This window comes from Homo sapiens, chromosome 3, assembly GCF_000001405.40.
Source record: "Homo sapiens chromosome 3, GRCh38.p14 Primary Assembly".
In the NCBI taxonomy this organism is placed as follows: Eukaryota; Metazoa; Chordata; class Mammalia; order Primates; family Hominidae; genus Homo; species Homo sapiens.
In genome coordinates, this window is record NC_000003.12 from 43,467,191 (window position 1) to 43,494,063 (window position 26,873).

At 39.9% G+C, this 26,873-nt stretch overlaps 1 protein-coding gene and 1 pseudogene across 17 annotated transcripts in view, besides 2 other annotated features; both read right to left on the reverse strand.

Moving 5' to 3' along the window:
- ANO10 (anoctamin 10) overlaps nt 1-26,873 on the reverse strand; it is a 325,747-nt gene that overhangs the window by 101,343 nt on the left and 197,531 nt on the right. For 2 of the 17 annotated variants that reach the window (XM_047448432.1, XM_024453616.2), the window contains one exon: nt 263-355. The exons of the other annotated variants lie outside the window; for them this stretch is intronic. In XM_047448432.1, the coding sequence (XP_047304388.1) occupies nt 278-355 (78 nt within the window). In that variant the 3' untranslated portion in view covers nt 263-277. Of the gene's footprint in view, nt 1-262; nt 356-26,873 lie in introns of those variants that run through there. 17 annotated transcript variants of the gene reach the window in all.
- Nucleotides 11,557-12,129: an enhancer, noted in NCBI's record as "OCT4-NANOG hESC enhancer chr3:43520239-43520811 (GRCh37/hg19 assembly coordinates)". NCBI's record gives its function as "activates a minimal SCP1, AML or CMV promoter by ChIP-STARR-seq in primed H9 embryonic stem cells {active_cell/tissue: H9 hESC(primed)}" and the evidence as "EXISTENCE:reporter gene assay evidence [ECO:0000049][PMID:30033119]".
- Nucleotides 17,729-18,726, reverse strand: RPL18AP9 (ribosomal protein L18a pseudogene 9; annotated as a pseudogene).
- Nucleotides 23,670-24,170: an enhancer, noted in NCBI's record as "H3K27ac hESC enhancer chr3:43532352-43532852 (GRCh37/hg19 assembly coordinates)". NCBI's record gives its function as "activates a minimal SCP1, AML or CMV promoter by ChIP-STARR-seq in naive H9 embryonic stem cells {active_cell/tissue: H9 hESC(naive)}" and the evidence as "EXISTENCE:reporter gene assay evidence [ECO:0000049][PMID:30033119]".

Here is a 26,873-nt window from a genome sequence, read left to right on the forward strand (position 1 = left end):
TTTCTTATAAAGTTAAATATATACTTATCATAAGACTCAGTCATTCCACTAAAGTATTTACCCAAGAGAAATAAAGACATATGCACATGAGAAATGGGTACAAGAATGTTCACTGCTGCCTCATTCATAACGGTAAAAATATGGAAACAACCCAAATGTTCATTAATGGGTGAATGGATAAGAAATCTATGGTATATTCATACAATGGAATAAATATTTAGCAATATAAAGCAACAAGCTACATGCAATGACATGGATGAATCTCAAAAGCATTATGCTAAATAAAAAGCCAGATATAAAGAATACTTACTATGTTATTCCATCTATATGAATTTCTGTAACAGGCCATTGTCATCTGTAGTGACAAGAAAGCACTTCAGTGACAGCCTGTGCTGGGGAGTAGAAGGGACTGATTGCAGAGGGGAGGAGGAAACTTTCCAGAGTGATAGAAATGTTCTAAATCTTCTTGTGGTGGTGATTTTGGATGTATACAATTGTTGAGACCTATCAAGCTGAACATTTAAAATGGGTCCTCTTTATTGTATGTAAATTATACTTCAAGAAAGCTGATGAAGAATAGTGCATAAGGTATAATGCAGTGATCCTTCCTTAACTCTTCTAATTTTAACTGCAACAGTAATAAATACAATGTCAGACAGAGAGATTCACAAACCAAATTGTAAAGACAATTAAAAGAAAATACAAACGAATTTAGAGTTTTCCAGTCAATTTATAGCTATGAAACTACATGGAAAAACACTGACACTTTATTTAGCTTTCATCACAGTGATGGAGTTCTTAGCATTGAGCATAAGTACTCTTTTGTGGTGCCTGGGGTTGTATAATGTGAGTATCTAGGTCATATTTTAAGCTTTAATTATAAATCCTTTCAATCCACAAGCTATTTTCCTTTCATAGCAAAATTACTTTCCTGCTTTGGCCATAATGTCTAATAATTTTTAGCAGTGATTTCTTATGTGTTTAAAAAATTGCTGTGGGCACAATGCTGGTAGGTGGGTAATCCTTAAGGATTTCACAAAGTGGTCTACTCTACAAGTTGGTTTCATAATTTCCACAACTATTTCAGTCACCATGGCATCCCCAGTGTGCAGCACAGTATTGACACATGGGCCCTTGGGAAATGCTGAAAGGCTTATCTCTGACCCAAAACACTTTCCTGTAACAGAAAGAGCCCTGGAAGGATGGAAGCTTCCTGTGAAGGAGTCAAAGAGTGACAGAGCAAAGGCTGCACCAGTGGAAGAACTGTCACCATATGCCTGGTATGTGTGCACATGGCTTTCTAGGACTGTACAAAAAAACAGTGAATTTTCGGGATTTCTGGAGCTCACATAAACTTTAAATGTAAATCAAGCTTTACAAAGTTCCCACAGCACCCAATGTTTCACCTGTTTTCATGAATGCATCCAGGCTTCAAACTAAACAATCTCAGCAGGTCAGACTGTGGTGGTGGTAACTCAAATCTCTTCCCTAAACATCTCAGTGGGTTTTCTTTTTTTTGTTTTCTTTTTTTTTTTTTTGAGACAGAGTCTCGCTCTGTTGCCCAGGCTGGAGTGCAGTAGTGCGATCTCGGCTCACTGCAACCTCCGCCTCCTGGGTTCAAGTGATTCTCCTGCCTCAGCCTCCCGAGTAGCTGGGGCTACAGCTGCATGCCACCAAGGCTGGCTAAGTTTTTGTACTTTTAGTAGAGACAGGGTTTCACTGTGTTAGCCAGGATGGTCTCAATCTCCTGACCTCGTGATCCACCCACCTCGGCCTCCCAAAGTACTGGGATTACAGGTGTGAGCCACCACGCCTGGCTGGATTTTCAATCCTACATCAATTAGCTGCTTTTTTTTTTTTTTTTTTTTTTGAGATGGAGTCTTGTCCTGTCACACAGGCTACAGTGCAATGGCACGATCTTGGCTCACTGCAACCTCCACCTCCCAGGTTCAAGCGATTCTCCTGCCTCAGCCTCCAGACTAGCTGGAATTACAGGCACACACAACCATGCCCGGCTAATTTTTTTTTTGTATCTTTAGTAGACATGGGGTTTCACCATGTTGGCCAGGCTGGTCTCAAACTCCTGACCTCGTGATCCACCCACCTTGGCCTCCCAAACTGCTGGGATTACAGGCGTGAGCCACCATGCCCGGCCTAATCAGCTGCTTTTAGTGATTTGCCCCGCGGACAATTCCTTCAGGTTTATATTGATTTCATCTCCTACTGATTCATCAAATTAACAGGACTTGAAGGCACATGACCTGTCAAGAATCTTTCACTATTCTCTTTTATAATATTCCAGGTCCTGTTCAGTTGTTTCATTAATTGCACTGTTAGGAGTGAAAATTCTAAAGGCTTCTGGAAGTGCCAAGAACCAGTGCTTTTACCTTTATAAATGAAGCTACCCTAAACAAGAGATGCATGGTGGTCATTGCACAGGTATCACAGTCAAAGGTTTCTTCTCCAGAACACCCCCACTAAGGAAGTCCATGGCCTTCAGTCTCCCATTATCCTTAAACATACTTCTATACTCAGTGTTTAATCTTCTTCTAATGACTAGAGTCTTTAAAAGTTTTTGTAGAGGTTCACATATGTCTGTATATATATTAATTCCACACACCCACAAACATATATTTTAAATATAATCCAGCTCTTTCTTAGATAGACAGGAAGCTCCACGAGGCAAGGAATTTGATCATCTGCTTTTGTGATGGCTAGTGCTGTCAGGAAACATTCTTGGACATACTGTGGGTAAACAGTCAATGTAAAGCTTAACAAATGCAGATGTTGCTGAACTTCAGAGAAGTATCAACAATTGGAGTTGTATTTTAAAAACTACATTCTACTTTATAACAGTTTTATTCATAATTGCCCAAACTGGAAGCAATTAGAATGTCTTTCAGTAAATAAATTGATAAACAAACTGTTGCATAGTTATATAATGACATATTACTCAGTGGTAAGAAGAAATGACCTATCAAACCATGAAAAGACATAGAGAAATCTTAAATGGATACTGCTAAGTAAAAGGAGCAGGTCTGAAAAGGCTACCTACTGAATGATTCCAACATTCTGGAAAAAGCAAAACTATAGAGACAGTGAAAAGATCAGAGGAACCTGTTTGGGCTATGGGGAGTATGGGAGATATATCGTAATTCTTTTGTTTTTGTTTTTTCTTTTTGAGACGGAGTCTCGTTCTGTCGCCCAGGCTGGAGTGCAGTGGCGCACTCTTGGCTCACTGCAAGCTCCGCCTCCGGGGTTCATGCTATTCTCCTGCCTCAGCCTCCTGAGTAGCTGGGACTACAGGCGCGCCTGGCTAATTTTTTGTATTTTTAGTAGAGACGGGGTTTCACCGTGGTCTCGATCTCCTGACCTCATGATCTGCCTGCCTCGGCCTGGTAATTATTTTATTTATTTATTTATTTATTTATTTATTTATGTATTTATTTATTTTGAGGCAGAGTTTCACTTTGTCATCCAGGCTGGAGTGCAGTAATGCAATCTTGGCATATTGTAGCCTCAACCTCCCGGGCTCAAGCAATCCTCTCACCTCAGCTTCCTGAGTAGCTGAGAGTACAGCCGCATCTCACCACACACACAGCTAATTTTGTGATTTTTATAGAGAGTGGTTTTTACCATGTTGCCAGGCTAATCTCAAGCTCCTGAACTCAAATGATCCACCTGCCTCTGATTCCCAAAGTGCTGGGATTACAGGTGTGCACCACCGCTCTTGGCCAATATATGGTAATTCTACGTTCTGCATAATTTTTCTATAAAACTAAGACTGCTCTAAAAAAATTAAGTTTATAAATTTATAAATTACATTGTAAATCAAGACTGTTTAATGTTACATCATTAAACAGATATAGTCTGGTTGTAGAATAATTTTCCATTAAAGTATTTTTAGAAGGATGCTATAATGATTTCTTCTCTTACATAACACTGCTGTGGTGACCCAGAAAATATTTAGAAAACACTTTCCCCCAGTTGGAAACCTATTTATAAAAACATCAAACACTCAACCCCAGTTTTAACTAACAGAAAAAGTATATCCAATTAAAACAGAAACATTAGGAAAAAAATCAAGTATAAATAAAAGATTTATTTTTTCCTTACTTGCTTGCCATAAAATATCTCTTATTTAGGAAGAGACAAAGTTTTAAAATTCAATGCTTAGGAAATGGAATATTCCTTGCAAGTCTAGATTTTCTATTCTTGATCCAAAACCTCATCATGTCCCTCTGCCGCAGAGGAGGAGTGTTCAGGGCGTCTGGGTGAACATCAAGGGTGTTAAATTCCACATGTAACCAGTTTTCTTGAAGACATTCCTACAAATGATACGCTCCCATAGGTACTCCCATATTATGATGAAATCCCAAGCTTCTAGACACAATTTCCAATATAATACAGTGACAGAGGAGCAAGTATTTAAAAAAGAAAGAAAAAGAAAACAAAGCAAGCTGGACATGCTACTCAAGAGGCTGAGGCAGGAGGATCACTTGAGCCCAGGAGTTTGAGGCTGCAGTAAGCCATGATAGTGCCACTGCACTCCAGCCTGAGTGACACAGTGAGACCCCATCCCTAAAAAAAATTTCTTTTTAAGAAAAGTGAAACAAAACATCATAGGAAACAATCAAATCCACACTGTGGAACAATCTACAGGCAAGCTGACCTTGCCTCTTCAAAAATCAATGTCATGGCTACTTTATCAGTGAAGATCACAAATAAATGGATGAAAAAAAGGTCAAATGTTTATGGCAGCTCTATTCAAAATCACAAAGGCTGGAAAAAAAATCAAAATATTCCTCTTCTACAGAATGGAAAAACAAGCTGTGGTATATCCACACGATAGTACACTACTCTGCAACAAAAAAGGAACAAACTATTGATAAATGCAATAACATGGATGAATCTCAAATGCATTATGCCAAGTGAAAAACAAACAGACTTAAGAGCCTATGTACTATATGATTCCATTTATATGATACTCTGAGAAAGGCAAAACTCGTAGGGAGAGAGAACAGATTAGTGGTTAAGGGTAGGGAGAGAGTTTGACAATGGAGGGAAATTTGGAAAGGAGGATGAAACTGTTCTATTTCTTAATTTTGATTATTATTACATGAATTAATACAAAAACACACAGGTCTTTACACCAAAAAGTATGACTTTTCCTGTATGTAAATTTTTTAAAAAACCCTTAAAATTTTTAAAATGAAAAAAAGTCACTGATATGGTGGGTAGGGGGAAAGGGTGATAGGACTGTTCAAGTTTAAAAGACACCAAAAAAGAGGGTCTGAAGTTATCACAGTGAGTTATCTCAGTTGATCGTTCATGGTCAGTTACAGATCGAACTCCTTGTTCCACTCTTTCCCCACCCTTCTCACTACTGCACTTGACTAGCCAAAAAAAAAGACAGAGAGAGAGACCAAAGAGGCATAACAACCAAATGCAATGAATTTTGACTGGCTCTTCCTATTTGACGTAGGAGGAAAAATTGCTATAAAAAAAATTTTTGGAAGACAATTGGGGAAATGTAAATATAGACCAGATTTTAGAGGAAATTATGAAATTCTTGTTAATTTTCATAATGTGATAATGGCAATGGGATTAAATAGGAGACTATCCTTATTCTTAGGAGATGTATGCTGAAATATTTAGGTAAATTGCCTTGATGTCTGCACCTTACTTTCAAGAAGTTCATTTTTTAAAAAGTTGTGTTTTTATCTGTATGGTCTGTATGTGCATGTATATACATAAAAATAAAGCAAATATAAGCAAAATGATAAATATGAATGACAACTACAGAATTTGGGTTAAAGGCATACAACTATTCACTGAACTTTTAGCATTTCTGTATATTTGAAAATTTCAAAGTAATAAGTGGAGAGAAATCATTCACAAAACTAATCTTGGCAAATCAGTGTGTTGTGAAATCCTCTCTGGAAGATTTTTGGTCCAAAATGTCTTTTTTTTTTATAGCTGTTTTCCTACTAGACAGAATCTAGTCAAAATTCATGCACAGCATTTGATTATGTCTCTCTGGTCTCTTTTAAACGTGATCAGTGCCCAGTATTGGATCTCTCATGACGAGACACTGTCCGCTTTGCTGGCCTGATTCCATGCCCAGCGCCGTCTACACTCTCCTCCTGGATGTCATAAGCCACGTTCTTCCTCACTGCTAGGCTCCTGCCACGTCACTCTACTTGCTCCCCTTGCCTACCATGATAAAGCTGGTCTGGAATGCTCTGAGCCCTACAGGCACAGTCAGAGAGAGCATGACCACCCCTGTGCTCTCAGTGCCACACGCGCCTCTCCCACATGCCACTGTCATTATTTGTTATCTGTTGACTTTTCTCATGTGTCAATTTACCAGAATGGTAGGAAAGAAATCCCATTCGCTCTTCTACCACTTTATGCCCAATACTGTTCCTAGACATGCTGAAGAAAATAGTTGATTTAACTGAAGGTTTCTCAACCTCAGCGTTTCTCAACCTCAGCACTGCTGACATTTTAGACTGGAAAATTCTTTGTTGTGGGGAGCTGCCCTGGACGTCATAGGATGTTCAGCAGCACTTCAACATTGAATAAATGAATGAATGATCCTGAGGTATTCTTAAACAAATGGCAATTATTGGGTGGGGTTGTGGGGAAGGCTATACAAAGAAAATTACAACCCCTGAAGATGGAGAGGTCTGGAGTCAGTGACAGAGGCCTGGTGATGACAGTGAGAGTGCAGCCCAAGTGACAACACAGCTGGGCTGAGGAGGGTTCAGAGCAAACACACACAGTCATTCATTCCTCCCAGCCAGCATGTGTATACAGTTTTGGAATGATCCAAAGAGCATTTTTATATTGTGTGCAACTGAGAGAAAGTGGTATAACAGAGGCCTTTTTGGTTTTGGTATAAAGCAATTTCAAGCAAAGGCAAAATGATGATTATTGATTTCCACCTAGGATATAAAGGGCTATATAAGACTGATTACACGTGGTCATACCACTTGCTGCAAGTTTCAGTACTTCCCCGCCCCCCCCAACCCCAATTTCTTCCTTTTTCACATTAGAAGATTGTCAGCTCACAAGAGAAAACTGATGGGCTCAGAGGACTTTATCAGGATTGATTATCAAAACTAATATGTTGTTTTTCCAAGTCGATAAAACATTGCAGAGCTCAAAGCAGGAGGAGCAACATTTCCCCAGAAAATGAGAGTTTTTCTTGCTGGCAGCTAAGCTTCTTGGTGGACAATAAACTAAAACAATCTCTCCTTGATTACATTTTTGACTTGTAAATGTTTTAAACTGGCTTAGCCAAAGCTCTCATTAAGAGACATATTCATTAACTTTGGTTGTCCATAATAAATTTGTATTTTAAAACAGCTCTTTGATGTTTAATTCAGAAAAATTAAAACAAACACTGTTTAAAAAGAATGAATGTATAAATAAGTCAAATGTCAACTATAATAAATCATCATTTAAAAATATGACCTTTAGTGGTATTTTAGAATGAATACATGTATTTGATTTTTATGTTTAAAGAAATTTGCATTTATGGTCATTACAGATTCAAGTTGCCACATAAAGAAATGCTGTTATCATGCAACAAAACAGATGGTCCCCAAAATCTTTCTAAGAAATCTATCTATCTAATCTAGTCAAGAGGGGAGTTTGAAGCTCAGTTTTCTCTCTGATTTTATTATCACTAATTATTTTGTAGAATTTTTTTTTGTCCTTTGGTTTTTAACTAGACATGATTATTTAAATATATAATCACTATAGTAGGAGAAAAGAAAGAAACACAGAAAAGCCAAAATAAATAAATTACCCAAATCTTAATAGCCAGAGAAAACTACTGGTGTTAACATTGGATTATATCTGCCCAGGCCATTTATACAAAAGCAAACATCTATATACATGCCTTTATAAGCTTTTCACTTAGCACTATGTCACGGCTGTCTTTCCAAGGATAAATACTTACATACAGTTTTATGTTTATAGTGGCAAGATATACCATTATAAGGATGGGTCAACATTTATTCAATTATCTAATGTTGGACATATAGCTCCTTCTCGGTCTTGAACCTTACACACAACATTAGCGTGAAGAACCTGTGAATTTTTTTTCTTACAGTTTCTCTCTTTGGTGTCATTCTTATAGTCAAGGTCTCCCCACCCAAAGATCAGATAAATATTCACCTATAATTCTTTCCAGTCCTTTTATGGTTTTAATTTGTTATATTCATATATTTAACTTGACTGAATTTCATTTCAGTGTGTACTTTAAAAAAGGGGAGGCTTTATCCACTCTCCCCAAATGGCTTGCCATTTGTCCCAGCAACATTTAATACCTAATCAATCATTTTTCTACTGGCAAAAAATGCCTATCACAAATTTGTGGGGGGGGTTCTTTGTTTTTGTTTTGTTTTGTTTTTGAGATGAAGTCTTGCTGTGTTGCCTAGGCTGGAGTGCAATGGCGCAACCTTGGCTCACTGCAACCTCTGCCTCCTGGGTTCAGGACAGTCTCCTGCATCAGCCTCCGGAGCAGCCGGGATTACAGGCATGTGCTACCACACCTGGCAAAGTTTTTTTTATTTTTTAGTAGAGATGGGGTTTCACCATGTTGGCCAGGCTGGTCTTGAACTCCTGACCTCGAGTGATCTGCCCACTTCAGCCTCCCAAAGTGCTGGGATTACAGGTGTGAACCACCACACCTGGCCTACAAATTTGTATGTATCTATACTTTTGACAGTTCATGGAATTTATGATCTGTTCTATTTATCTATTTATTCTGGTGCCATTATCATAATTTTTCAGTTATTGTGGCTTTATTTTCTTCAAAAATGTCCATGGCCATTATCTCATATTTATTCTATGTGATTTACTTCAGAATCATATATTTTGATACACTGTTTGCTCATATTGTCATTTTATAATGTTAACTAGTTTTACAGTATTTTTTTCTGGGTTTTACAGTATTTTTTTCTGTTAGCTTATCTACTTTCCCCCTAAAATTATCATGTATTTAATCATGTCTAAATAAAAACCAAAGGGGAACAGAAGAAAATTCCAAAAAATAATTGTTGGTAGACCTGAAGGTTGCCCCCAAGTTTTCAGTTTATCTTGGTGATATCCATGTACCCATTCTGTGAATGTTACTGAATCCTAAGGTAGAAAGAGTCTCTACCTCTTCTAGGCCTGCTTTTGATCTCCAATTAGTGGGGTCTGTAGTGGTCTACTAGCATTTGTTAAATTCATTTCTCATGTCATCCCACCAATTGTCTCAGGAAGGGAAGACATTGGCTGGTTCTTGGTGTCTTCCTGAAGTTGGTCTGTCCTTCATGTTATATCAGATAAAAACTTCTCAACACCTGTAGAATGCAACGGACACCACTTCCCTGCCAGCTCCCTGTTTTCTCCTTTTCCTTTTCTTGGTTTATGGAGTTTTCTCCTTACTTTCCTTTTTCTTTGTAGTTTTTATCGGTTTTTTCCCTTACTTCACCATCTTCCCAAGAAATCTTGAGTTAGATCACTTTGTGGAACTTAGTATGAGCAAGCTATACCACTAATAAACATTAAAATAATGAGATAGCCTAAGAGTAACTGCTCAAAGAAAATGAAGACTATCCCCGAATTCATGCATGACCATAGCATGTATTTTGAAAGAAGAAAGAAAACATAGCAAACCTTGCCAATCAATAAGCAATTTGCCGATCAATAAGTAATTTCCCTGTACTATTCAATGCAGGCAGATCTCCACAGTGGGCAGATACAAGAGTTTTTTTTTCTTTTACCATGGGTAAAATTTCTTTTATTTGAGAAAGTAATGTGTATACATAGTTTTAAAAAATAAAGACAAAGAATATACAGAAAAGATCTTCCATCCATTCCTGCTCTGCACCCCTCTACCATCTTTCAGTATTCTCCCTAGAGACAAGCCCTGTTATTTATCTACTGGTTTACAAATAGAGAAATCTTTCATTATCCCTCAAATTAAAACTGATCAGCATATTGAGATGATATGATGTTGAGAAGATACAGTATTATTGTAACTGTTAAGAAAAGCTAGAATAATATCAAAGGTATTGTAGTGGATAAAACTTAGGCAGATGCACAAAAAAGATGTACCACCTCTCCCTTTTTATTAATGAATATGAAAATAATTTATAAATTACTTACTCAAACAAACATTTACTGAGCATCTACCATATGCTAGGGACTGTCCTAAGTGGTATGGACAGAAAATGAAGCAAGACGTACTCCATCTATTACCTTCCATTTCATTTTATTAAGATAATTGTTAATAACAGCTGACGTGTTATATTTTAAGTGCTAAATCAAAATGTCATTGCATAAAAGTCATTTGCAAATCAAACGGAACAATCTGAGCACAGATCTAAAACTCGTAATGCTTCCTTGGATCCTGGACCATAATACTGTACTTGTGGTAAGCTCAGAGCAGGAGGGAATAGCCTGATGACAAATTACCCCTCATCTTAAATGTTCTAACATCCCCTATACTGTCAGTCGACCTTGGGTGTGTTCACACACAATAGCACACAGGAAGACGCGAAGGTGACGTGGCCTTCCTGTTTGGGCAAGGCATAATCTTAACATAGAAGGTGCCTGTTGCTCATTACGGGCAGAAAAAAGAGCCATTATCACTTACAATTGGACAGACCTCTTTGACTTTGGCAGGGGCCCGCCAACCTGCACACCAGAGGCACACATAGGGAGTGAGGGAGGAATGTTGAGAAGTGATTTCCCAATGGCCCATCTCTAAGGAAGTAGTCTCTGTTTTTTCAGTTCACACTTTACCACAATGCTTACCTTGTGCCAGGCCCTATTCTAAGTGCTTTTCATATATTTACTCATTTAATGCTCACAACAGCCCTATGAGGCAGAAACTACATTTATTCCCATTTGACAGATAAGGAAACTGAGGATCAGAGAGGTTACGTATCCTGGCCAAGGTCACAGAGTTAGTGAGCTGTCTATACAAGCCACATGGAGTGAGGTTCTGGAGATGGAAGTTGGGGTTAGTCAGAACAGATGCCTTAAAATGTCCTTGTCAAAGTTGCCTCTTCTATGCAAAATGATAATTCTGAAATCAGCAACCTAAAAAACAGCAGCCATCTATTATGACCTCACCACTGTGCTATGTGTTTTATAAATGAAAAGCCCAATCCTAACAAACCCTTTAAAGTAGGGACTTTAACCACCCATTTTATAGATTAAGAAATTAAGGTCTGGAAAGTAACTTCCCCTAGCTAGTGAGATCTGAAGCCAGGATCTTAGCTGTCTGACTCCAGGACCCATGCTTTTTTCATTTCACTGTAGTGACTATGTGTGAGTGAGAAATTCCAACATCATCACAATCAGAAAAATAGTGGCTCTGTCTACTCTGATGGTTTATGCTTGTGCTAACACAGGCTGTCCTCCTAGTGGGGAGAAGTCTTTGGCACAAGTAATTAATTTACATTAATGCTTAGCTCTCACTCCTATGTAGTATTCATATTTGACACAGTACAATTTTTCTCATTTTCAAACACAGATTATTCACACCATACATATGTAGCAGATAATTCAATAATAAATTGACTGTGATCAAACATTTGGCAAAAGCTTGAGAAGTCAAATAGTTTTTAAAAAGTCTGATATATCCTTAGACTTCCAAATTGTCTCCATTTTAAGGTTAGAGCATCTAAAAGCAAACCCAAGTACCTGTTTTATAATATTATAGCCCCCTACAGAAATGCCTCCACAAGTTAGGGCACTTTAGAAACTATAGTGAACCATCTGAATGGTTTTCTAAAACTATCCTTGAGGACATAGATTATTGTGTTAATCAAGGTTCCCTGATCCTTTTGTTTAATAACAGAAAAGAGGCACTACCTTTTCCTTTTCACTCGTGCATAGATTATTGTGTTAATCAAGGTTCCCTGATCCTTTTGTTTAATAACAGAAAAGAGGCACTACCTTTTCCTTTTCACTCGTGCTAACATGAAAATATAAGAGCAAGCATTAAGGCCTAATTGTATAAAAGCTGTATCATGTCTCATGTGGTAAAAACACACAGTCCCTGTTATCCCAGATGTTCTCTGAAAGTTTCTATACCTAATTATCCTATTTACATTTTAAACATTGTTGTTGCTTTCTTTTTCAAGTAGGTGAAGTTAGAAATAAAAAATAAATATTAAACTTTGATATATTTATTAATTCAGAAGTTGGTCAATCTAAAGTTCAATAATCTATGAAAAATTACCAAATTCACAGTACTCAACAATAAAAAAGAACCAGAGAAGTAAAGACCTCTAATGAAATGTGATTGGTACATCTGCCCTGAAGAGAGCTTTTTGAAAGGAAGGAAAGGAGGGAGGGAAAAAGGAAAGTTGAAGGCTGCAGACATTTCTAAGTGGATAGACTAAGTAGGAGAAAAGTTAATTACCAAATGGTTAAAGTCAAAGTGTAATACTGGGACCTGGAGACCTGGGAGACTTCTGGATTAAACAGATGAACTTACGTCTGCTCTCCCCTCCTTCTGAATCACCATAAAATGATAGCCCACAGTGCCTGGGCCTTGGAGAACCCCAGGAGATAGAGCCTAGGACCTCAGAACGGCTGCAGAAGGGCAGAAGACACTCCTTGACCCCTCTCTATCCTTCAAAGTCCCATCCCCTCTCTCATCCAGTGGAAGACACAAGACTTCCTATCAAGTGAGACTGAACTACAGGCAGCACCAGGGGCAGTAACACAATAATGAAAACGCCTTTCCACTAAAAGAGGAATTAGGAGGAAACAGAGACAAAGCAGAGATCAGAAGAAAAGTACAGAGGGATAATACTGCATTCATGAAATAAAGTACAGAATGCTATTTTCTAAAAGGAGGTGGGAACATTCAGAGAATAAAAAAGAGCTCTTGGATACTAAACTTATGATTGCTGACATTCAATAGAAGAATTGGGAAATACAGTTGAGAAAATCTCAAAATAGACAGAAGAACCCAAACAAACAAGGAGACACAAAAATAGGGGGAAAACATACAACAAATGGTAAGTCCAGAAAATGCAACAGAGGGCCAGAAATAAAGATAGAACATGGAGAAAAGATAATTCTCAAAGAAATAATTCAAGGATTTCACAGAACTGAAGAACAGGTGTCTGCAAGTGTTAAGTCCCTCTGATCGAGGAGACCACAAAGGCATATCATTGTGAAATGTCAGACACCAGGGATAAAGAGAAGACTGTGAAAGCTTCCAGAGAGAATGAACAGACCCCGTGTAAAGGATCAGGGGTCAGGCTGGCATTAGGCTCTCAACAGCAATGTTAGAGGCAATGGGTAATGTCTTCCAAATTTGGAGGGCAGATGGGCATAAAGATGTCTGCAGATATGCAAGATTCCAAACTATCTCTCATGAACCTGCCAAGATAAAGGAGGGGGTTACAAGAAAGGGGTGGTAAACGAGAAGCCAAGTGAATTCCCAAGAAGTTGGGAAGTGAGGACAGAAACCCTGCAGCCAGTCTGGAGGTGAACTGCCCAAATGGGAAGGGAACACCACAGTTCCAGAAATACCCTCTCCAAGGAAAACAACACAACACACTGAGAGGCTGTCTGGTGTGTTTAAGCACACTATGTTTAGGAAAGAATCAATGATAGGTACACAGAAACCAAACAAAGAAAAAACAAGGCCGTTTTCAACTCAATTATGCTTAAGGAAACATAATCATGGCACACTACGTACTTATCTACAAATACAATGTGCATAATAATACAACCACTACATTGTATTATTGTATAATAATTGTATAATAATACAATATACTAATTGTATAACAATACAATCACTGATTTAACCAAAAGTTGTGATGTGAAATTACACTGGCAAGATGGAACATAAAAACATTCATATTTTATAGTAGAGAGTCAATAAAACTGAAAGACATAGTATTTAGAAATATAGAGGTAAACAGCAGAAAAAGGGCTAAAAATTTGAGTCATATACTCTAGGAAATTGGGAAAGGGCAGAGACCCATTCTTTTGTTATTACTCTTAAAGGAATATTTGACCTTTAAAATTATTTATATGAATTACTTTTATAAAAACAAAATATGATTAGATAAAAAAGCTGAATTTGCTTGGTCAACTGTAAGTGAAAAAAATGAGTAAAATGTAGTTTTTAAATTATGCCAGGTACTAAGACTGATACTCAATTTGTGCCTATAAACCAAAAATAAAATTCTAAGCTCCCCATCTGACTGAGGGTCCTTCACTCAGCCAAGGGCATTCCAAAGCTAACCTGAAAAACTAGTTCAGGCCATGATGGGACATGGGGGGTTGAACATGCCTCATTATACCCTCCTCCCTTTGGAATTCAGGCCCAGCTGACCAGCATTAACATCAAAACAGAGACCTTAAGACTGACAGAAATGATAGGAAACATTTACAATCTATTATTTCTGAAGCCCACTATCTGGAGGCTTCATCTGCATGATAAAACCCTGGTCTCAACAATCACTTAATCTTAACCCAGACAGTCCCTTCTACTGATTTTCATGTTTTTAGATAATAACTCTTTCAACCAATTGCCAGTCAGAAAATCTTTTAATCCACCTATGACCTGGAAGCCAGAGGCTTTCCAAATCACACTAAAATGACAGTCCACAGTGCCTGAACCTCAGAGAACCTTTTGGACTAAACCAGTGTACATCTTGTATGTATTGATTGATGTCTTTTTTCTTTTTTTTTCTTTTTTTTTTTTTTTTTTGAGACAGAGTCTTGCTCTTGTCACCCAGGCTGGAGTGCAGTGGTGTGATCTCAGCTCACTGCAACCTTCGCCTCCTGGGTTTAAGTAATTCTCCTGCCTCAGCCTCCCGAGTAGCTGGGACTACAGGTGCGTGCCACCACCCCCAGCTAATTTTTTGTATTTTCAGTAGAGACAGGGTTTCGCCGTGTTAGCCAGGATGGTCTTGATCTCCTGACCTCGTGATCCGCCTGCCTTGGCCTCCCAAAGTGCTGGGATTATAGGTGTGAGCCACCGCCCCCAGCCAATTGATGTCTTATGTCTCCCTATAATGTATAAAACCAAGCTGTAGCCCAACTACCTTGGGCACATGTTCTCAGGATCTCCTGGGGCTGTGTCATGAGCCATTGGTCACTCATATTTGGCTCAGAATAAGTCTCTTCAAATACTTCACAGAGTTTGACTCTTTTCATTGACATGCCTTTAGAGAACCATGGGATCTCAGGATTGGAAGTGCCTGAACAATCATCTAATATGCCACCTGCTCCCCAGTGTGACACCTGCTATGTGAACTGTGAACAACTCTGCCCTTAGGAACTGCTCCCAACACAGTTATGCCCCCCAAAACACCATACCCAGGTAAACACACTAACCTTCCAATAGTCAAAGATGGCCAGGCATGACCCTGAAGCCTCTTCTCTGCTGAGTTCCTACTTCTACTTCTCTCTAGCTTCTGAGGGGCTCTCTCTGAGTCCCAGACTGTGTGACCAAAAAGGCCTTGGCCAATAGCTCCTAATCTCACATCCCTTCAATCTGGGAGAGCAGCCAGACCAAAACAGACTACTCTTTGAGGCAATTTCAAACCTTGCAAGGATGGGTTGCAGGGTGGAGCCTAGGCTGGGTGCTCATGTGCTCACCACTGGGCAGGGTACAGGGCAGGGTACAGGGCAGGGATGGGGACACAGTCCCCACCAGGAGCAAAGCTGTACCCTTGCAGTCAGCTGAGGGAGGAGGGCCAATCTCCAGGAGAAACTCATAATGGGTAGGCAATCCATGAAAAAGGCCATGGATCGTAAAGAAAGAGAATGTTTATTAAATTTGTCTCTTAAAAGATTCAATTTTTGGTCATGTTTAAGAATTAATGATATCTTCTCTAACTAATGATTTTATGCTATAAGCTTCCTGTGCTCTGGGACATGGATGGATGGTCAGCATCAAATGCCACAAGGCAGGAATTCAACAAGATGATCATTCGTTTTTAAGAAAATGTCTTTGTTTATTTCCTGTGGAAATAATGACTTCCTGCGTAACTCTAGCAAGAGTAAAAAAGATCTGCTTCCAGCCCTTAAACCTTTTACTCATAAGTTTAGTAATGGGACATTTTTATAGAGTTTTGGTGACCTTACAATTTTTGTCTTCAGGTGGTGTGTTTTTTGTTCTTTCCATTTGCATTGTAAAATGGTATCTCATCAGAGGAGCCAAGCTGCTAGAAATAGACTCAAAAGTAACAGTTCATGTCCATGCCTCTGGGGTAACACGTAACACTTGGTCTGGTTCCTAACCATGCAATAGACACAAAAGACTAAAATCAATTGCCTCAGCACCTCACATTGCTCAAAAGATTCGTAAGTCAACACTACCCACATGATTGATAAATGTTAACAGAAAAACAAAACTCTGTAAAATATCTCAAGAGGTTTATCCTGAGCCAATATGAGTGACCATGGCCCAGTGTTCAGTTTCAAGATGTCCTGAAACGGTGTGCTTGAGGTGGTTGGGTTAGTTTGGTTTTATACATTTTAGGGAGACAGAAGTTACAAGCAAAAACGTAAATCAATACATGGAAGGTGTACATTGGTTCATCCTAAAGAGGTAGGATACCTTGAAACAGGGGCTTACAGGTCATAGGTGGATTCCAACATTTTCTGATTAGCAATTGGTTGAAAGAATTAAGCTTTGTTTAAAGACAAAAGAAATGCCTGAGTTAAGTTAAGGAGGGCTGTGGACACCAAGGCTCTTTACTATTATTATTTGATACAGGGTCTCATTCTATTGCCCAGGCTGGAGTGCAGTGGTGCAATCACAACTCACTGCAGCCTCAACCTCCCAGACTCAATGATCCTCCCACCTCAGCCTCCCGAGTAGCTAGGGCTGCAGGCACACACCACTATGCCTGGGTTTTTTGTTTGTTTGTAGAGATGGGGTTTCACCATGTTGCCCAGGCTGGTCTCAATCTCCTGGGCTCAAGCGATCTGCCCACCTCAGCCTCCCAAAGTGCTGGGATTACAGGTGTGAGCTACAGCCCACTCAGCCTCCTAAAGTGCTGGGATTATGGGTGTGAGCTACAGAGGCCCAGCCAGACCAAGGTTCTTGTTATGCAGATGAAGCCTCCAGGTAGCAGCTTTCAGAGAACATAGATGGTAAATGTCTCTTTTCAGATCTTAAAGGTGACAAACTCATTTAATCTCCTCTAGATCCCAGAAAGACCTAGAAAGGGAAGGCTTGGCCACATTAATGGAGATATCTCTACAGATGCAAATTCCCCCCACAAGAGACAGTTTTGCAGGGTAATTTCAAAATATGTCAAAGAAATATATTTTTGGGGTAAAATATTTCTATCGCCTTCAGGGTCTGCTGTCATGTGATGCTACACCAGAATCAGTTTGGAATTTGCTATCTTATGTGCCACTCTTTGTGGCAACAAAGTCTATTTTATCAGTCTAATAATCTCTATTTCAATGTTAGTGCTAGTCAGTTGTGCCTAAACTCCAAAAGGGAGGGGGTATAACGAGGTATGTCTAACCTCTCTTCCCATCATGGCCAAGAACACAGTTTTTCAGGTTTCTCTGAGGTCTTCTTGGCCAAGAGAGGGTCCATTCAGTTGGTGGGGGGACTTAGGATTTTATTTTTGGTTTACATCATGGAGGCGGGGCTGTGTTCTCCGCCAACAGGCATGACCAATTGTCTAAGCATTTACAGTTTATGTCTTTTTTTTTTCACCGGGGCGTTCCTGAGTTTATTTGGGGCCCACCCAGGCAAGGGCCCTGCACCTAGAAGAAGGTGTTGGGCCTCTTGGTGGTGAGGCGTGGCTTGTGCTGACGGCTCAGGACCCGGTGGGGCAGCAGGAACTTGATCTTGGAGTCGTGGAACTGCTTGACAGCCGGCCGGCGGCACTTGCTGGCTGCGATCACCTCCACCTTCATCTGGTGGAGTGATCTGGATGGAGTGGGCCCTGGCGCGGTAGCACTGGGTGACAGCGCCTGCGGTGGTCAGGTACCGGTATTGCCGGTACATGTTGTAGGTGCAGCTCCGGGAGTCATAGTGAGAGGCAGGACTAGCTGCTGTTTGCCGCCCTTTGCCACCGTCGCAGACCCGCTGCTGACTTCCATACCTCCGGATCCGACAGGGTGTCCGCTGTGCTCCCCATCCAGGGAGGCGCCCATTGCCGCTCCTGATCGGGCTAAAGACTTGCCATTGTTCCTGCACGGGTTTGTCCTAATCCAGCTCAACACTAGTCACTGGGTTCCAAGGTTCTCTTCCGTGACCCACGACTTCTAATAGAGCTATAACACTCACCGCATGGCCCAAGATTGCATTCCTTGGAATCCGTGAGGCCAAGAACCCCAGGTCAGAGAAGACAAGGCTTGCCACCATCTTGGAAGCAGCCCGCCACCATCTTGGGAGCTCTGGGAGCAAGGACCCCCAGTAACATTAGCGCAGCCAGCTGTCGAAGTTCTTCACCCGCAGTGGGGGCTTCTCAAACACCTGCCCACAGTAGACAATCTCCCCTGAAGCCTTCTTTGTCTTTAACTGAGATACGAAGTACCAGAAGTGGGACCTGTTGACAAATGATTAGGCGCAAAGATTTGCATGTGGTAGTGGGGCAGTGTGTGGCATTCCGGGGTGTGCAGGCAGCGACCCACCACCTTGTACTCTCGTAGTGTGCCCAAGACCTTCATGGCGTCCTCTCCGCGCTCACCGCCACCCGCAAAAGGTACAGTTTATGTCTTTACAGTTAATTGCACTTGAAGAAAATAAAAATATTTTACCCCAAAGTATATTTCCTTGACACATTTTGAAATGGCTGCCACAGGGCCAGCAGACAGAAGTGGCCTTGCAAAGCTGTCTCTTGTTGGGCAAATTTGCATCTGTAGAGAATCTCCATTAATGCAGCCAGGGCTTCCCTTTCTAGGCCTTTCACAGATCTGGGAGAGATTGAGTCTGACACCTTTACAAGTCTGAAAAGACACGTTTACTATCTATTCTCTCTGAGGGCCTCTAGCTATGAGGCTTCATGTACATAACAAGGCCACTTTTGCTAGTCAAGCCTCCTTTATTCTCTCCCCTATAACCTGTCTTGCCATTAAAATCTGTTTTTGGTTCCATATGAACTTTAAAGTAGTTTTTTCCAATTCTGTGAAGAAAGGCATTGGTAGCTTGATGGGGATGGCATTGAATCTGTAAATTACCTTGGGCAGTATGGCCATTTTCACAATATTGATTCTTCCTACCCATGAGCATGGAATGTTCTTCCATTTGTTTGTATCCTCTTTTATTTCCTTGAGCAGTGGTTTGTAGTTCTCCTTGAAGAAGTCCTTCACATCCCTTGTAAGTTGGATTCCTAGGTATTTTATTCTCTTTGAAGCAATTGTGAATGGGAGTTCACTCCTGATTTGGCTCTCTGTCTGTTGTTGGTGTATAAGAATGCTTGTGATTTTTGTACATTGATTTTGTATCCTGAGACTTTGCTGAAGTTGCTTATCAGCTTAAGGAGATTTTGGGCTGAGACAATGGGGTTTTCTAGATATACAATCATGTCGTCTGCAAACAGGGACAATGTGACTTCCTCTTTTACTAATTGAATACCCTTTATTTCCTTCTCCTGCCTAATGGCCCTGGCCAGAACTTCCAACACTATGTTGAATAGGAGTGGTGAGAGAGGGCATCCCTGTCTTGTGCCAGTTTTCAAAGGGAATGCTTCCAGTTTTTGCCCATTCAGTATGATATTGGCTGTGGGTTTGTCATAGATAGCTCTTATTATTTTGAAATACGTCCCATCAATACCTAATTTATTGAGAGTTTTTAGCATGAAGGGTTGTTGAATTTTGTCAAAGGCTTTTTCTGCATCTATTGAGATAATCATGTGGTTTTTGTCTTTGGCTCTGTTTATATGCTGGATTACATTTATTGATTTGCGTATATTGAACCAGCCTTGCATCCCAGGGATGAAGCCCACTTGATCACGGTGGATAAGCTTTTTGATGTGCTGCTGGATTCGTTTTGCCAGTATTTTATTGAGGATTTTTGCATCAATGTTCATCAAGGATATTGGTCTAAAATTCTCTTTTTTGGTTGTGTCCCTGCCTGACTTTGGTATCAGAATGATGCTGGCCTCATAAAATGAGTTAGGGAGGATTCCCTCTTTTTCTATTGATTGGAATAGTTTCAGAAGGAATGGTACCAGTTCCTCCTTGTACTTCTGGTAGAATTCAGCTGTGAATCCATCTGGTCCTGGACTCTTTTTGGTTGGTAAGCTATTGATTATTGCCACAATTTCAGCTCCTGTTATTGGTCTATTCAGAGATTCAACTTCTTCCTGGTTTAGTCTTGGGAGAGTGTATGTGTCGAGGAATTTATCCATTTCTTCTAGATTTTCTAGTTTATTTGCGTAGAGGTGTTTGTAGTATTCTCTGAGGGTAGTTTGTATTTCTGTGGGATCGGTGGTGATATCCCCTTTATCATTTTTTATTGCATCTATTAGATTCTTCTCTCTTTTTTTCTTTATTAGTCTTGCTAGTGGTCTATCAATTTTGTTGATCCTTTCAAAAAACCAGCTCCTGGATTCATTAATTTTTCGAAGGGTTTTTTGTGTCTCTTGTGTCTCTATTTCCTTCAGTTCAAAAGTTCATATGGAACCAAAAAAGAGCCCGCATCGCCAAGTCAATCCTAAGCCAAAAGAACAAAGCTGGAGGCATCACACTACCTGACTTCAAACTATACTACAAGGCTACAGTAACCAAAACAGCATGGTACTGGTACCAAAACAGAGATATAGATCAATGGAACAGAACAGAGCCCTCACAAATAACGCCGCGTATCTACAACTATCTGATCTTTGAAAAACCTGACAAAAACAAGCAATGGGGAAAGGATTCCCTATTTAATAAATGGTGCTGGGAAAACTGGCTAGCCATATGTAGAAAGCTGAAACTGGATCCCTTCCTTACACCTTATACAAAAATCAATTCAAGATGGATTAAAGACTCAAACGTTAGACCTAAAACCATAAAAACCCTAGAAGAAAACCTAGGCATTACCATTCAGGACATAGGCATGGGCAAGGACTTCATGTCTAAAACACCAAAAGCAATGGCAACAAAAGACAAAATTGACAAATGGGATCTAATTAAACTAAAGAGCTTCTGCACAGCAAAAGAACCTACCATCAGAGTGAACAGGCAACCTACAAAATGGGAGAAAATTTTCGCAACCTACTCATCTGACAAAGGGCTAATATCCAGAATCTACAATGAACTCAAACAAATTTACAAGAAAAAAACAAACAACCCCATCAAAAAGTGGGCGAAGGACATGAACAGATACTTCTCAAAAGAAGACATTTATGCAGCCAAAAGACACATGAAAAAATGCTCATCATCACTGGCCATCAGAGAAATGCAAATCAAAACCACAATGAGATACCATCTCACACCAGTTAGAATGGCAATCATTAAAAAGTCAGGAAACAACAGGTGCTGGAGAGGATGTGGAGAAATAGGAACACTTTTACACTGTTGGTGGGACTGTAAACTAGTTCAACCATTGTGGAAGTTGGTGTGGCGATTCCTCAGGGATCTAGAACTGGAAATACCATTTGACCCAGCCATCCCATTACTGGGTATATACCCAAAGGACTATAAATCATGCTCCTATAAAGACACATGCACACATATGTTTATTGTGGCATTATTCACAATAGCAAAGACTTGGAACCAAGCCAAATGTCCAACAATGATAGACTGGATTAAGAAAATGTGGCACATATACACCATGGAATACTATGCAGCCATAAAAAATGATGAGTTCATGTCCTTTGTAGGGACATGGATGAAATTGGAAAACATCATTCTCAGTAAACTATCACAAGAACAAAAAACCAAACACCGCATATTCTCACGCATAGGTGGGAATTGAACAATGAGATCACCTGGACACAGGAAGGGGAATATCACACTCTGGGGACTGTTGTGGGGTGGGGGGAGGGGGGAGGGATAGCATTGGGAGATATACCTAATGCTAGATGAGGAGTTAGTGGGTGCAGTGCACCAGCATGGCACATGTATACATATGTAACTAACCTGCACAATGTGCACATGTACCCTAAAACTTAAAGTATAATAGTATAATAAAAAATAAAAATTAAAAAAAAATCTGTTTTTGGCCACTCTCTGAGCCTGCATTATTTTTATAACCTTAAGGTGGTATATAAGCTTCTGTACCTTACTGAGGGGTTGGATCTTCATTCTGAAAGTTCCCATGTACACGTTAAATAAATCCGCCTTTTCTCCTATTAATCTGCCTTTTGCAAGTTGATTTTTCAGTGAACCTTTAGAGGGCCAAGGGGAAAGCTCTCCCTTGGCCCTTAGGGTGACCAGTGAAGGAAGACACAAGGGGCACAAGAGGATGCAGCAAGTTTTCACAATAAGACTAGGAGATTACACAGTTAGACAGAATGAATTCGTCAATAATTTCATTTCAGGTGCTCAGAACATATAGTTCAATTAACTGGTATTGAAAGTGCATGGCAGAAAAAAATATTTCTCTTTTCTTTTCTTTGAGCTAGAAGACTAGTTTGCTACAAAACAGTCTCTTTGCCTGGTGAAAAAAACAAGGGGTAAAATTTAAAACCTGTTTTTTATCTCATGACCATTAGAGGCCCTGATTTAAGAAAAAAAAAACTATCTTACAAAAATCAACAACTATCTAAACATTTACAAATAAAAATCTCCTTTCACTGAAGAAGTATTCTGTTATAACGAATCACTGGAAAAGAATAAGCCTGTAACAGTATCCTTTGCATCAAAATAATGCCTTAAGGGTTCAGAAGTCCTTGAATATTATTTCTTCTGATCCTCACAGCAATTACATCAGGCCGTTCTCAACGTGATACATGGATGATGGAAAAACAGCCTGAAGTCAGAGAAGGCTTACGTAAAGTCACTCAGCTTATAGGAGACAGGGCTACAGCCAGGCTTTGACATTTAGCCCTGGCCTCCCTCTTTCTGATAAATCCAGTTTCCTTCCCCTTCTCAGATCTCCAACTACGCCACAACAAAAGTCTTGCATGGTGTGTGTGTTCCTCTCCTCTCTAAATATTCCCTCCTGTTGCAATAAGTTTCCAGCCTAAAAATGTGAAATTTAAAAACTTTTTATCTAAACACAAGTGAAATAAAAAGCAAAACAATGAGATAACCAAAAACCTGGCAACTTGGAAGAGGGGGAAGAAAAGTATTTTAGAGGACTCCTTTTAAAACAAGGTCATATTTTAAGATCATAATAGTGAAGATTAAAAACTCAGTAATACTCCACAGCCTTATTAATATAGAGCAGTAGGCATCATCACAGAACAGATACTTGCTATGTACTCAAACTGGTCTAGACCATAGAAAAAGATGGAAGGCTCCTCCTAATTCATTCTAAAAAGCCGGAACACACTTAATACCAAAGTATGACAAAGAAAAACAGAAACCAATTTCACTTACAAATATTGATGCAAAGATTCTAAATCAAGTACCGGCAAATAGAACCCAGAAGTGAATTTGTTACAGTAGGTAGTTAGTCAGGCATGAGGAGGGCAGAAGGGTGCTCCCAGCACCACCCCCACACACACACCTGGAATGTCAGGTGACCATCAGGTGATGGTCAGGCGGTTGCTGACTCTCTTTCTAAAATAATAATTGGCCACAGCCGGTGCCAGGGAAAGGCAGTCTCCTAATAGATAGAGAACACCTGAAACTGGTGAGCAGCAGCTTCCCGATAAGATCTCAGGAGTTGGACAAGTGGGCTCAGGCATGCATATTAAGAGGCAGAATGGCAGGGGGGCGGGGTTTAAATGGCATATGACCTTCCAGGGACATTTGACTGGTAAGGACCTCAAGTGAGCATGCGTACAACTCCAGTAAACACACTGTGCATGCTCATCTCCCAAGCACTAGTAGGCTGCTGTGCATGTGGACATCTCACCTCAAGCGAAGAATCAGAAGGAATCCAAGACCCTGGAAGTATGCCAACATACAAAACCCTAAGTCAGGCCAGACACAGTGGCCTCATGCCTGTAATCCCAGCACTTTGGGAGGCTGAGGCAGGCAGATGACTTGAGGTCAGAAGTTCGAGACCAGCCTGGCCAACATGGCGAAACCCCATCTCTACTAAAAATGCAAAAATTAGCCAGGCGTAGTGGCAGGCACCTGTAATCCCAGCTACTAAGGAGGCTGCGGCACGAGAATCGCTTGAACCAGGGAGGTGGGGGCTGCAGTGAGCCAAGATTGCGCCATTGCACTCCAGCCTGGGGGATAGAGTAAAACTCCATCTCCAAGAAAAAACAACAAACAACCCTTAAGTCAAAGGTCAAACTGCACACTCCATCTCACAAGTCACCTGCTTGGACCTCTTCCACCAAGTGTACTGTACTTCCTTTCATTCCCACTCTAAAGCTTTTTAGTAAACTTTAACTCCTGCTCTAAAACTTGCCTCGGTCTCTCCTTCTGCCTTACCCCTTGGTCAAATCCTTCTGAAGAGGCAAGAACTGAAGTTGCTGCAAACCCATATGGATTCACCACCAGTAACAAATTAACAGAAAAATATACAGAATATGATATAATATAATAATATAACATGGTTTATTTCAGGAATGCAGAGATAGCTTAAAATTAGCAACACTATCAACATAATTTATTACGTTTTTAAGTGAAAAGATAACCATAAATTAAAACATAAAGGTTGGAAGATGGCCAAATAGGAACAGCTCCGGTCTACAGCTCCCAGAGAGATCAAAGCAGAAGATGAGTGATTTCTGCATTTCCAACTGAGGTCACCAACCTCAAAGACCAAAGGTAGATAAAACCACAAAGATGGGGAGAAACCGAGCAGAAAGGCTGAAAATTCCAAAAACCAGAACACCTCAGAAAAAACCAGAGGCCTCAGAAATAACACCACACATCTACCACCATCTGATCTTTGACAAACCTGACACACACAAGCAGTGGAGAAAAGATTCCCTGTTTAATAAATGGTGTTGGGAAAACTGGCTAGCCATATGAAGAAAACTGAAACTGGACCCCTTCCTTACACCTTATACAAAAATCAACTCAAGATGGATCAAAGACTTAAACGTAAGACCTAGGACCAGAAAAATCCTAGAAGAAAACCTGTCCAATACCATTCAGGACATAGGCATGGGCAAAGACTTCATGTGTATAACACCAAAAGCAGTGGCAACAAAAGCCAAAATTGACAAATGGGATCTAATTAAACTAAAGAGCTTCTGCACAGCAAAATAAACTATCATCAGAGTCAACACGCAACCTACAGAATGGGAGAATATTTTTGCAATCTTTCCATCTGACAAAGGGCTAATATCCAGAATCTACAAAGAACTTAAATTTACAAGAAAAAGGCAAACAACCCCATCAAAAAATGGGCAAAGGATATGAACAGACACTTCTCAAAAAAAGACATTTATGCGGTGAACAGACATATGAAAAAATGCTAATCATCACTGGTCATTAGAGAAATGCAAATCAAAACCACAATGAGATACTATCTCATGCCAGTTAGAATGGTGGTCATTAAAAAGTCATGAAACAACAGATGCTGGACAGCCTGTGGAAAAATAAGTACACTTTTACACTGTCGGTGGGAGTGTAAATTAGTTCAACCATTGTGGAAGACAGTGTGGCGATTCCTCAAGGATCTAGAACTAGAAATACCATTTGACCCAGCCATCCCATTACTGGGCATATGCCCAAAGGATTACAAATCATTGTACTATAAAGACACATGCACATGTATGTTTATTACGGCACTATTCACAATAGCAAAGACTTGGAACCAACCCAAATGTCCATCAATGATAGACTGGATGAAGAAAATGTGGCACATATACACCATGGAATACTATGCAGCCATAAAAAAGGATGAGTTCATGTCCTTTGCAGGGAAAGGAAGCCATCGTTCTCAGTAAACTATCACAAGATCAGAAAACCAAACACCGTGTGTTCTCACTCATAAGTGGGAGTTGAACAATGAGAACACATGGACACAGGGAGGGCGACATCACACACCAGAGCCTGTGGGGCATGGGGGGCTAGGGGAGGGAAACCATTAGGAGAAACACCTAATGTAGGTGACAGGTTGATAGCACCATGGCACATTTATACCTACGTAACAAAAGTGCATGTTCTGCACATGTAACCCAGAACTTAAAGTATAATTTAAAAAAAAAAAATTGATGCTTCAAACAGTTGATAATGCCTGTTCTTCAGGACATCAGACAATTTATTTAATATGCCATTTATTTATTGAAAGTATTTAAAATAATGGCAACTAAACAGGCTACCACATTTCCACAAAAAAGGACCATTAGCTCTTGAATGAGGTAAGAAACACAATAAAAAATAATTTAAGGTTAAAAAAACATAAAGGTTAAAAAAGCACTTGCTATACAATAGTTATTCCCAATTAAGATAAACAAACAGAAAATGATCTAAAATAAAAGTAGAAAAATATACTTAAATAAAAATCATTTATTACAAACCCACAGCAAACAACTTAAGACACAAGTCTCATTCTGTCACCCAGGCTGGAGTGCAGTAGCATGATCACAGCTCACTGTAATCTCCAAATCCTGGATTCAGGTGATCCTCCTGCCTCAATCTCCTGAGTAGCTAGTACTACAGGCACATACCACCACACTAGGCTAATTTTCCATTTTTTCACAGAGATGGGGTCTTGCTTTGTTGTCTAGGCTAGTCTTGAACTCCTGGCATTAAGCAATCCTCCCACTTCTACCTCCCAAAGTGCTGGCATTACAGGCATAAGCCACCACTCCCAGCCTGCAAACAATTTATTACATGGTGAAATA